The sequence below is a fragment of the Homo sapiens genome, chromosome 12 (assembly GCF_000001405.40).
Source record: "Homo sapiens chromosome 12, GRCh38.p14 Primary Assembly".
In the NCBI taxonomy this organism is placed as follows: Eukaryota; Metazoa; Chordata; class Mammalia; order Primates; family Hominidae; genus Homo; species Homo sapiens.
The window spans coordinates 7,161,489-7,175,192 of record NC_000012.12 but is presented as its reverse complement, the minus strand read 5'-3'; the positions used below and the strand labels follow the sequence as shown (position 1 = coordinate 7,175,192).

The window sequence follows — 13,704 nt, the reverse complement described above, 5'->3', positions numbered from 1 at the left end:
TCCTCCCACAATATTTCTGTAACACAGAGGAGATAATACACACCATTGGTTACACACAGCCTGTATTCCACAGACTTTGGCTGATGACAGGGTGAGCAAGATATATTACGTGTCTCAGGGTAGCACCTAGTAGCACCTGGTAAAAATTCTCTGCTAAAATTAAAGAGGGAAAGTATAGTAGATGGTATGTCATGTTATAGTCATATAACATAAGTCATAATTCCAGGCATAAGTCCCAGGAGCATGGGTCTCCTTCCTTCTCACATCCTTATTCTTGGGTGTAGGTGCCTGCTTCTGCACATTATTGTAGAAGAGATGACAATAACTGAAGTAACTCACATTTTTAGGGAGTATTCCAGTTCCAGGAACTGTGCTAAACACATTCTCAGTAACTATAAGAATGTGGGAGACAAGCAGGATTGTCTGGTGAATTACCTGGGGAGCTCCTTCCAGTTGCCTGGCAAGAGGCTAGCTTGGAGGGCTGGGAAGATCATCATCCTCTTTCTCCCAGCAGGACATGCCACTCCAGACAGAACTCAACTTCCCTAGTGACTATTGGCTATCCAACCTCTCCTCCAGGTAAGAAAAGTTATGCCTGATCTCAGTATATTCCAAGGTCTCTAGATGCTGGGCTTCATGTTTTCCAAGGTATTGCTGTAAATGATTAGCACTCAAACTCAGACTGTCAAGGCCACAAAGCCACCCACACTTGCCTTCTAAAAGTCACAGCAATAGGAAGAGGGAGCCTTCTTAACCCCCTCCTCAAAATGCTGAGAGAACAGGGAACCTATTCACCTGCTGACTCTTCCACCTGCTTCATCCCATAGCAAATGACCCACTAGAGTTTTCTCTAAGGGCTTTGCAAGAAAGAATGTAAGCCCCATGACAGCAGAGATTTCAGCCAGCTCAGTGCTGGATCTCCAGGACCTAGAACTGTGCCTGACACACACAGTAGATAATGTTTTAATTGGTTTTATTATTTTTAGGTATGGTAAATCCAACAGATCAGGAAATTACTGCCATTGAAAAGATAGTTTGTTACAATTCCCAGAGAAGTGGGGGGCACACCATATCACAAGGGGCCAAATGTGGTAAAGGAAAGAAGGGAGAAAAGGAGGAAAGCAGGAAGGAAGGAAGGGAGGGAGGGAGGGAGGGAGGGAGGGAGGGAGGGAGGAGCCAGCCATCAAGTCATGAAAATAAATGGAAGAAAATTAAAATACATATTGATAAGTGAAAGAAGCCAATTTAAAAAGGCTACATAATGTATTATTTCAGCTATATGACATTCTGAAAAAGGCAAAACTATGGAGACAGTCAAAAGTTCAGGGGTTGCCAGGGGCTCAAGGGGAGGGAGGGGTGTGGATGAGTATATGGAGCACAGAGCGTTTTTAGGGCGGTGAAATTATCCTGTGTAATACTGTACTAGTAGATACATGTCATTATATATATCATTACACATTTGTCCAAACCCACAGAATGTACAACACAAAGAGTGAAGCCCAGTGAAAATTATGGAATTTCAGTAATCATGATGGGTCAGTGTAGGTTTATCAATTGTAACAAATGTTCCACACTAAAACAAGATGATAAAGGCTTGTTATCCAAAATATTTTTTTAAACTCAACAATAACAAGTCAATTTTAAAATTGGCAAAAGACCTGAAGAGACACTGCATTAAAGAAGATATACTGATGACAAATAAATATATGAAAAGATGTTAAATATCATGTCATTAGAGAATCACAAGTTAAAACAACAATGAAACACCACTACATACATATTAGAACAGCTAAAATTCAAAACACAGACAACACCAAATGCTGGTGAGGATGTGGAGCAACAGAAACTCTCTTTCATTGTTGGAGGGAATGCTAAATGGTGTGACCACTTGAAAAGATAGTCTTAACAGTTTCCTACAAAACAAAACATACATACTCTTACCATACAGTCCAGCAATCCTTGGCATTTAACCAGAGTTGAAACCTGTCCATACAAAACCATGCACATGAGTGTTTATAGCAGCTTTATCCACTGCTATATCACTGCCAAAACTTAAGAAAAACCAAAATGTCCTTCAATAGGTGAATGGATAAACAACTGTGGTACATCCATACAATGGAATATTGTTCTAGTGGTTACCTTTAACACACTTAGTTCCCTTTTTCTTTAGACAATCCTATTGCTACTTTCTATGAACAAAAAAAGACTAGCTTATAACTTTTCTTCCTCCATCTCCTCCCTTCCTTCCCCTGTTCAGCTTTAGTCATACAATCTTCCTTAATGTTTACCCTTTATACTTTTGAAGATGCTCAACTCTTTGCTACTTGATTTGTCAGCTTTACATGATATCCTTTCACTTGTAGCTATTACATAAAATGAATCAGTGAGATTTTTCTGCTGTTCTCCTTTTTCCTCCCATTTTGTTTGTTGTATTATTCTCTTGTCATTCCTATTCCCACTTTTGTTTTACTCTTAGTTTTGCAGTTAACTATTATTCAGTGCTTGCCAACTAGTCCTTTTGCCAAAGGGAATGGGTTTTAAGCACTTTTAAGTTCTTTATGTCTGCCATTGTATAATGGGAGTGTTGTTATCCTCTTGTATGATCTTACAGCAAATCATCTGGTGAGGATTTTGGGTAGTGAGACAAATGAGGCTGGGCATGTGTGGGATAGGAATAAACTACTGAGTAGAATGTCAGCCTTGGATACAGAGTAGCCTCGGAGTTCATTTAATGAGTCTATAGTTTTTGCCCATAGCTAAGCCTCCTGGGAGAAAAAGCCAAGTTGTACACCCATGCCCCAGGTGTGATGGTGCATACCCATAGATTCAGCTACTCAGGAGGCTGAGGGGGGATCACTTGAGCCCAAAAGGTCAAGGCTGCAGTGAGCTATGATCGTGCCACTGCACTCCAGCCTAGGCTGCAGAGTGAGACCTTGTCTCAAAGAAAAAAAAAAAGAAATTCTGGAATTTGAGTTGGATGTACTGCCCCCATGTTATAATATTAAAAGTAAAATTTCCCATAATTTAGCAAATTAATATCTTATGAAAATTTGGTTTTAGCATGTAGACCATTTTTCAGAAAGTCTATTTTAAATGATTTTGTTTTAATTACAACTAGTTAAATTATACCCAGAATTCCATACATAAATCCCCTTCATAAACCTTATCATGACTTACACAGACCATACAATATGCTTGGACTTTTTGACTTGTCTTATACTATCTCTTTCTTACATAACGAGTCATTTTATTTTAGGACAAGAATTTACAAGATCCCTCTTCATACAAAATTATTCTTTATATTTTTACTTGCCAAAAATCTTTTAATCTGTAATTTTTTATATAATTTTTTTAACTTACTGGCTCCCTCATATTTTGAACCTCTCAATAATTTTTAAATTAAACAAAAACTATTATTATTATTCCCCAATAAAGAATATAATTTTTGTCATATTTTATATAAACCAAGGATGTAAGAAATCCTGCACTGCCCATGAAACACTGACATTTTATAGATGAGAACCATTGCACAATTTCAAGATTTTAAACCACACAAAAAGTTCACTGTTTAAGTATCTATTATATTTAGATGTTGGGAACAGGCCCCCCAAAATCTGGCCATAAACTGGCCCCAAAACTGGCCATAAACAAAATCTCTGCAGCACTGTGACATATTCATGATGGCCATAACACCCATGCTGGAAGGTTGTGGGTTTACCAGAATGAGGGCAAGGAACACCTGGCCTGCCTAGGGCGGAAAACTGCTTAAAGGCATTCTTACACCACAAACAATAGCATGAGCGATCTGTGCCTTAAGGACATGCTCCTGCTGCAGATAACTAGCCCAACTCATCCCTTTATTTCAGCCCATCCCTTCGTTTCCCATAAGGGATACTTTTAGTTAATCTAATATCTATAGGAACAATGCTAATGACTGGCTTGCTGTTAATAAATACATGAGTAAATCTCTGTTCGAGGCTCTCAGCTCTGAAGGCTGTGAAACCCCTCATTTCCCACTTCACATCTCTATATTTCTGTGTGTGTGTGTCTTTAATTTCTCTAGCGCCGCTGGGTTAGGGTCTCCCCAACTGAGCTGGTCTCAGCATTTAGACGTATTTAAGATTTCACTTTTAATAGTTTTATCTAGACTACCACCAAGAACCAAAATAACCACACAAAGCTAGTCACCACTTAAAGCTATTGTAATCATTTTTAAGCCTATGAATATTAATAGTTTATTTAGGTAAAAATCTTAAAGTTAAATTGTAGAAGATACAACATTTTTTTAAAAACTAGTAAGTTTACAATCATCTAATCTGTTTAATTTATGAGCATTCTTTTATAAGGCAATTTGATAGCATGCTAGACACAACACATATTATATGAATGAAGTGACCTATATAAGACAGCTGGATTCAAATTATTTACAAAATTGGGACCATCTATTAGGCCAAAATTTTTTTTGCCCCAGTAGATATGGAAGACAGGAAAAGGCAGGGAAGGAAATCCCATAGCATTAAATAAGGAAGGGAGAAGGCAAACTGCATTGCTCAAGGAAAGACCTTGGAGTACCCAGGCTGCCAGAGAGCTCATACAGCAGTGGAGATATTGAAGAAAAATGTTCAGCCAGCCACTTGTCTACCACTGTGGGAAACTGTCCATTGAGTCAGGGTCTAAGACCCCCAGTAAACTTATTTGAGCAAGACAACTAAGTGTAGCTAATGGAAGGTTAGCTCTGTATTGACAGGGAGTTTTTTCCCTATCTCACCAGGGACAGTTAGGACATTCTCATTGCCAGTGGCCCTTTTGCTTATGGTAGACACATATGGGCTCTTGTCTGGGCATCCCAGATGCTGATCTTGTGACACTTTCTTGGGATGGGCAACTTTGAGGTGGCAGGGGGCTTAAAGTAACTGTTAACAATTGAACTTTTGGGCTATTTTTTGTTGTTTTTTTCACCTCTTTTGCCCTGGCCCTATTGTTGTAAACTTTATAGGCCATGTTTAAATGTTGACTTTGGAGGTTTAAAGTCCCATTGCTGCTTTTTGTAGCTTCCTCCTAATGTCAGGGGCAGATTGAGTAGTAAAATGTATACTCAGGAGAGCTTGCCCTTCTGAGGAGTCTGGGTCTGCATTGGTATATTTCCTGAGTGTCTCAAACAAATGACCTTGAAACAGTGGGAATTTTGTCTTTGAGTTATTTCTCTCACCTTGTCATAATTCACTGGCTTAACCACACACCTTTTCTTCTGCTTTTTTTCCACAGCACAGCAAGCAGATGACAATACTTGCAAGACATGATGTGTTAAATTAAAAAACATAGTCTATTTAACAAATTCTTTTATAAATTTTTCTGGATTCTCTGGCCAAATTTTTCCTTGTATAAAACTAAATCACACATAGAAAATGGCACATGTACTCTGTTTCCTCATTTCTATCAGGCACCTCCCTCAATGGACACAGGTTTGATTTTTGGAGCTGATATGGAGCCCTACTCCTGGTGGTACTGGTTGGTACTTTCTCAGGCAGCAGGGTGTATAGGCTGGGGTAGCTGGATAAGAGGAAGGGGTGCCCAATGACCTTGGGTGGAATTCTTCATTAGAGAACTGGCAGGACCCCCCTCAGAACTGGGGGACTGAGGAGACTCCAGGGAGGCCATAGGCCTTCTAGGGGGAGCAGCTAGGAGGGGATCCCTTAGGCACAGCTTCCTGTTACTTAGAAGTAACATGAGCCAATAAAGGACCATAAAAGCCTGTACACAAGGGATCTCCTCTCATTTCCGTTCTTCTTTACAGAATGAGTCTAATCGTAAAATATTATTATAACATATAGAACCATGTTTAGGCCAAATCTATTGGTTTTCTAATTTGTATTGAAACCAAGTGGTATTGCAATAGAATATGAGTTGCTTTTTCTTGAGGCCAAATTTGAATTTGCTCTAATAGCCTAAAAGACAACCCAAGTGGCAAGTCCTCTGGGATACCTGTCATTGTCCCATGTCCCATGTTTCTACCGGACATAGTTTTTCTAAGTCTAGTGAAAGGAAAAGGAACTGGGCTTTTACTATGTTTTCCTTTTAGATTCTCACTTCCTGCTGAGAAGGTGTAAGTATAAGTAGCAAGGCGTTATGAAAGTGGGTTATAAGGATTTGCCAGTGAATGAACTATGACAAAAGGAGTATTTTTTAAAGCAAAATGTAAAAGGAAAAGTGCAAATAAAGTGACAATAAGAAAAGAAAATGCTGTTATGGAAAATGATAACTTTAGGTCAGGAAACAAGAAAAGGCAAGACCAAGATTCCCCCTAGGGTGTGCCTTCAACCCACAATCCTAGAGGGAACACCAATGCTGAAAGCCCTAGAGCATTCAGAGTGTGGCCAACAAAACCAAATGCCAAAAATCCAGAGTACCAGAGTATCAGCCAGTGAGGGTCCCTACACCAAATGCCAGAAATTCCAGAGTACCTGGGAGCTAACCAATGCCAATAACTTCAGAGCATCTAGGGAAAAGCCAACAGTGAATCCCAAAGGCCTGGTGGGAGCCACAGAACAATATGACTCCAGCGTCCCAGAGTCAACACAATGGGAGGGCTCTCACAACCAAGTGACCTGCTTTAAACAATTGCCCAAATACAGTTAACAAAAAGTCAAAGCAAAAAGCACTGCAGGCAAAACACACATTTAAGAACTGAAAATAAAATGGCTGGTTATTTAAGAAAGAGATAGTAAAGACAAGTCAAAAAGTCCAAGCATGTTGTAAATGGTCTTTGTAAGTCATGATAAGGTTCATGAAGGGGAATTTATGAAAGGAATTCTGTGTATGATTAAGCTAGCTGTAATTAAAATTGTTTAAAATAGACTTTCTACTTTGGGAGGCCAAGGTGGGTGGATCACCTGAGGTCAGGGGTTAAAGACTAGCCTGGCCAACATGGTGAAAACCCATCTCTACTAAAAATACAAAAATTAGCTGGACATGGTGGCAGGCACCTGTAATCCCAGCTACTTGGGTGGCTGAGGCAGGAGAATCACGTGAACCCCAGAGGCAGAGGTTGCAGTGAGCTGATGAGATCACGCCACTGCACTGCTACCTGGGTGACAGAGGGAGACTCCTCTGTCTCAAAAAAAAATTAAAAATTAAAAATAAATAAAATAGACTTCTAAAAAATGGTCTACATGTTAAAATCAAACTTTCTTGAGGTACTGGTTTGCTAAATTATGGGAAATTTTGCTTTCAATACTATAACCCGTTGTGTTTTTTTTTTAAGCTTCTCAAATTTGTGTCTCCAGTCCTTTTTGGGCCATCTCTTCTCCATCTCTTAGATTTCTTTGGAGTGCATCATTCTTTCTGATCTAATTACTGATACAAGTTTCACACACACACACACAACCATCACTGTGAATATTTTAAATGTCTAATGTGTGTGAGAAAGACTATTTCCAGGTATCTGGGTTTTTAATCAATGTTTATTAAAATTATAATTATAAAATCTGATTTTGCATAAGCCTTTAAATTCGAATTACAAATCTTGAAATTCTGTCTATAAATGTACTAAGTGTTGTTTTTGAAAAAATCACTTCCACTTGTTCTTTGATTGATGTTTAACTCAAACAGATTTACATTTTCTTAGCAATGAGTCCTATTTACAAAGTTAGCACATTTTTCATAACTGATATAAACCATATTCACATGCTTAATATATTGAGTTTCTTTTCCTCATGCTTTTCATTGCCTGACAAGGTAGACTTAGAATCCTTATATGCAAAATCTTTCTCACCACTTCAGCAACTCCTGTAAATCTAATTACTTGATTTGCCATGTTCAGATGTTTGATGTGTCCTAAATGTTCTAATACTGCTTATAAGCTTAAGCAGCATCTTATACCTTTCAACTGAAACTCATCAGTCTAAAATCACATATTTCAAGTTGAAAACACAATTTAAATTCAGGTTTAACTTAAATTCATACAGATTTTTAAATTTATCTTAAACTTGACTTCACAATATTATAATTTACCTCACTGACTCTATACTAAGTTTCACACCTTGTCAGAGTTGTAGAGTCATTTACCCCACTAAGCAAAGCAGTTTGACCTTCTCAGGAAGATTGTGGTTATTAGGTCAAAAACTTAGTACCTATTATGGAATGAATGTTTGTGTCCCCTCCTCCTAAAAAATTTATATGTTGAAATCCTAATCCCCAACGTGATGGCATTAGGTTGGTGCAAAAGTAACTGTGGTTTTGCCATTTTAAAAAATGGCAAAAACTGCAATAATATTAGAAGGTGGAGCCTTTGGGAGGTAATTAGGTCATGAAGGTAGAGCTCCCGTTAATGCAATTAGTGTCTTTCCTTATAAAAAGAGATATGAGTGCTCATCCTCACTCTCTCTGCTCTCCACCATGTGCAAGAAGATAGATGTCTACCAACTAGGAAGAGAGCCCTCACCAGGAACCAAATCTGCTGACACCTGGATCTTGAACTTCCCAGCCAACAGAATTGTGAGGAATAAATGTATGTATTTTAAGCCAGTGGTCACCAACCTTTTTGGCACCAGGGATCAGTTTCATGGAGGACAATTTTTCCAGAGACTGGAGGGTGGAATGGTTTCAGGATGATTCAAGCACATTACATTTATTGTGCACTTTATTTCTATTATTATTACACTGCAATACATAGTAAAATAATTGTACAACTCACCATAATGTAGAATCACTGGGAGCCCTGAACTTGTTTTCCTACAACTAGACATCCTATCTGGGGATGATGGGAGACATTGACAGGTCATCAGGCATTAGATTCTCACAAGGAGCACACAACCTAGATCCCTCACATGCACAGTTCACGACAGGGTTTGTGCTCCTATGAGAATCTAATGCTGCCACTGCTCCGACAGGAGGCAAAGCTTAGGCAGTAATGCCAGCAATGGGGAGCAGCTATAAATACAAAAGAAGCTTCACTTGCTTGCCTACCACTCACCTCCTTCTGTGGCAGCGCAGTTTCTAACAGACCACGGACTGGTACCAATCAGTGATCCAGGGGTTGGGGATCCCTGGTTTAAGCCACCCAGGCTATGGTATTCTGTTACAGCAGCCCAATTGACTAAGACAGTGCTATAAAACAGTGACTTGTCAGATTGAAGAGCAGGACAAGAGAGCTACTTTCTGCCAAGGTAATTCTCACCAGTGACCTCATGAGCATTCTCCTGGTAGATTTACCTCTGCTGACCACAGGCCAGGCTTTTGGCTGGACTGTTTCACAGCTCACATCAGCAGGGCATCTTCTGCATTGTGCCTTCTCCCATCTTAGGTAGATGGAACAGTACTGCACCCATACCTGGATCCTTAGCAAGTTTTCCTCGCTTAATAAGTTCTGCATTTTGTTTTGCATTTTTCTTGTCTCACCAGACTCTATAGCCCTGTCAATGGCCTTGTCTAATCCTCTAATTGAGGGTCATCAGACCCACATACACCTTTTCACTTACATACCCATCTGGCCTGGCCTCTAAGTCCTCATACTTCTTTAACATTGTCTAGCTTGTCTTCAAAGACCATAAGCCTTTCTCCCAATGAAATTTCCCTCTTCCCCCATCTTAATCAGCCTTTTTTTTCTTTTGTTTTTATTTATTTCCACTGCACCCGTTCCAGAAGAAAGACAAAATTCTACGTTGTTTTGTTGTTGCTGCTGCCGTTGTCTTTAACTAGTTCTTCCTTGATTCCTTGAGCAAATCTGATTCTTAGAATGTTTTAAACATAGGCATTGTAATTGCCTTCTTGAGCCTTTGGGTTTGCAGTAAGTTCAGTTATCTCTACATCCTAACAAGAAAATGGTATATAATAAGGGATTCTTCCTCCTTTTGATATCTACATTGGGAAAAATATAATATACTTAGTGAGTAAAGCCACAGTCTAGGTCTCCAAAATTCAACTTCATGGCCAAGGATTGTATAGGTAACCAAAGGATGATAAAGATTACAATTCAACACCTACCTTGAGATGGTTGGAAGTAACTCCTCAGAGCTTGTGGACAAGCCTCATGATCTGAGCTCAAGACACCTCCACATTTTACTGTCTCATCTCATGGTACAGCTCCCAGTGACAATAAGACCAGGCATGGCCCACTTAGGCCTGCACAAAGCTCACACACACATGCTTGGGAGAGCAACTTAGCTTCTTTTTAGATTTGAAGCTCGGACTGAAAACCTGGCTGAAAAACACAACAAAACAAAAAATCATTCCATCCACCAATGCTTACCTAGAAAGCTTTTATTTTTGAGAATCTTTTGAGATTCTGCCCCTTCTGAGTCCAAAAGACTTTCTATATGGTGAGCTATCCTCCTCTATCTTTGCCTTCCGTGCAGCACTAGATCACCTTTGCTCATGCAGCTCAAAATTGGCCACAGAAGTTGGAATCCAAAACTCTGTGAGATCTTGCTTACTAAGACCCTAGCAGCTCAGTTCCTGTCTGCTACAGTCCCCATCTGTTAAAAAATAATAAATAACAGGCCAGGCGCGGTGGCTCACGCCTGTAATCCCAGCACTTTGGGAGGCCGAGATGGGCGGATCACCTGAGGTCGGGAATTCGAGACCAGCTTGACTAACATGGAGAAACCCCATCTCTACTAAAAATATAAAAAATTAGCCGGGCATGGTGGTAGGTGCCTGTAGATACTCGGGAGGCTGAGCCAGGAGAATGGCATGAACCCAGGAGGCGGAGCTTGCAGTGAGCCGAGATGGCGCCACTGCACTCCAGCCTGGGTGACAGAGCGAGTCTCCGTCTCAAAAAAAAAAAAAATACAAAATTTAGCCGGGCATGGTGGCACATGCCTGTAATCCCAGCTACTCCGGAGACTAAGGCAGGGGAATCGCTTGAACCCAGGAAGCGGAGGTTGCGGTGAGCTGAGAACGCGCCATTGCACTCCAGCCTGGGCAACAAATGTGAAACTCCATCTCAAATAATAATAATAGTAATAACACTGTGCCTGTTTAAATAATAACACTGTGCCTGTTTAAATAATAACACTGTGCCTGTTTAAAACAGTCTGGCAATGATAGTCACACTCCTATGGGCATTAGCCACAGTAAGCTTCTGTGAGCTGCCAACGTGAAAAAACCCAGGTGTGTCTGGCTCCAAAGCATGTGTTCAAAATCACAACCACATGCTGTCTGGGCTTCAGATGGGAGAAGCTTGAGGAATTCTGCCATCCCTAAAACCCTATGCTTTTAAAGACCCCAGCATCACTGGAACTAAGGATGGTTTTGTTTACCTCCCAGTAATTAATGACAACGATAGCTAACAAGTAGCATGCACTTTACAGCATGTCAACTCTGAGTTATTCAGAAAAGGTTATCTTATTTAAGCCTCATTCAACCCCTTGAGTAAGTAATTTCCCCGTTTACGTGATGAACCAACCCTTAGAGAAGCTGAAGACCAAGACTCAACACTAAGTTCCTGGGATTTGAACACAGGCAGCACTGACAGCAAAGTCCACGTTCTTAAACCCCTCCCCACGACCATTGCACCCAGCAAAAGGAGGCCTCTGTGCTTTGGGATTTCCCCAAACCAAAAAGATGGCATAGCAAGAATACGTCCCCGAGGAAGAGGGGAAGTCGTCCAATGGTCTGGGAGGGGGCTAGACTTTCAGGGGGCAAGTGGCACGAGCAGCCTGCATCCTCCTTGGGCCTGGTACCCTGGGGCTTTGCGCAGTTGTTGTCTGGAAACTGTGTTTGCCCCGCTTCACTGCTTCTTGCCTTTGGACTTACCTTTCTTCTCTGTAGTGCCATGGAAGGAAAACTACTCTCCTTCCAGTGACCTAACTAAAAATCAGAAGTTTTCTTAAATGCTGCTTTTGCCCCCTGGTAACACCCTCTTCCCCCAGAGCCAGCCACACTGCGACCCAAGGAGAAAGGGTAGCACAATCCCAACCTTTAAGTGTGGAAGGGAAGAGACCACGTCCGATGGGGGAGGTGGGAGAGGGGCCACAGAGCTGGGGTGAGAACTTCTGAAACTGGAGTCAGGTCGCTGAGATCGGATATTGGGACAGAAGCTCCCTTATCCTTATGAATTAGAATCCCCACCCAGGAAATACAGGATTCCTACTCCTTTTCTGACAACGCCAGCTCCACCACATCCCGGAGTCTTCATTCCCCCTCCACCTACCCACTGTCGCTAAATTTAGAGCCTCATCTGTCCTCTTCCTGTAGGACGTGGGTATTTTAAGTGCTCCGCAGCGTGGTGCCGCAGGAGAGGCAGTGACGCCAGCACCGTGGAGGCTGGCGCGTCAGCTCCTCCTCTCTGCCTGTCAAACGCGCCCACCTGCCCGGGCTCACCCATCTCTCTCCACACCTGTCTCCCTTCCTCCCGTTCTTCCGTTCTCCCAGGAGGCCGCCAGAGGGAGCACACTGAGAGCCTCCGCAGGTTGCTGGGGAGTTTAGGAAACTGCACCGAGGAACCTAATGGACACACTCATCTCCATTTCACACTTATGGACAAATCAGGGAAACACCTCAGAGTCTGAAAGTTTCACCAGCTCTTCTGGACTGGTGAAAGAAGAGCTCCTAGTTGGGACAGGTCTGGGGATATAGGGGATCTACTTTGGGGAGCCCCTGACATGGACCTAAAATCTGAAGGGAACGTGAGATCTCCCACAGCACCTAGAAGGCTGGGAGCACATGTGACCTTCTAGGCCCACCCCAGTGAAGCCCCCAGGGTGAAGGTGCATCAGCCCAAAGGCTGCAGGGTGGAGTGCAGACTTTGAAAGTGGGTAGAGCCACACCTCTGCCCACCGCCAGTGCATTTGTGTCCAGCTGCTCTGACGGCACAAAAGCGAGTTTCCAGGACTCTGGTTTGGTAACAGGAAGAAGGACACACTTTGTTCTTGAACTGGTGGTTAACCCAGTTGCCTCTAGAGCATCGCTTTTCCCCGAGGGCATGCTTTTCATCATGCACCTTTAGAGAAGCTAATTAATTGTCATTGCGGAGAGTAGACTTGAGAGGAAAACAGCCTTCCATTGCAGAAAGAACGGTTTGAGTGATGCCAAGGCAAATGTGTTTGCTGTTTCAAATGAAATTGGGAATAGGTGAATTGGAAACCCTGCCCCGGGCCTGATAGCCCCAGGCTTTGCCAGCTTCTTTGAGGGAGGTTAGGAAACATCTTTCCAGGAGATCTTGAGCAACAAAATAAAAACCCATGCAGAATCCTGCCTGCTGCCCTTTCCCTGCGTCACTGGAGCTGGCCTCCTGCCTCAAGCCTGATCCCTGTTTAGTGTGTGTGCGAGTGTGTGTGTCAGAGACAGGCAGAGATTGAGAGAGGGAGGGAAGTCAGCGAGTGACAGCAGAAGTTCAGGGCATGTGGTGGCACAAGGAATTCATGGTCTTCCCCAGGCCTCTGGTGCCCATGTATACCCCCACCCCAGGTAACATCTCGATGGGCCCAGTAGTCACATGGGGAGATGTGCTAACCATGGGCCAAGACTTGGGCATCAAACACTGAGGGTGAAGAGGAGGGCCGGGAAAGGTTACACCAGAAGAAATAATCAGAGGTGAGGGCTTCTGATTCTGGAGAGTTTCCAGGAATCTCAGGTAGAGTGGTTGCATTTAAGAGAAAAACCCATGTCCAGCCCCAGAGGCAGCTGATCCAGGAAGGCCAAGAGTCAGGCCGAGGCTGGGCAGACACTAAGAGAAGGACATATGCTACTTTGTGGCAGTCTGCA

At 42.2% G+C, this 13,704-nt stretch overlaps 1 long non-coding RNA gene across 1 annotated transcript, besides 1 other annotated feature; it reads left to right on the top strand.

Annotated features, from left to right (window-relative positions):
- Positions 1–513: 513 nt before the first annotated feature.
- On the top strand, positions 514–8,519 carry LOC124902869 (uncharacterized). Its single transcript, XR_007063196.1, has 2 exons — positions 514–579; positions 8,404–8,519. It is a non-coding gene; the product is annotated as an uncharacterized LOC124902869 (long non-coding RNA).
- Positions 12,246–12,540: a silencer, noted in NCBI's record as "tiled region #5519; HepG2 Repressive DNase unmatched - State 12:CtcfO". NCBI's record gives its function as "represses a minimal TATA promoter and a strong SV40 promoter by Sharpr-MPRA in HepG2 cells {active_cell/tissue: HepG2}" and the evidence as "EXISTENCE:reporter gene assay evidence [ECO:0000049][PMID:27701403]".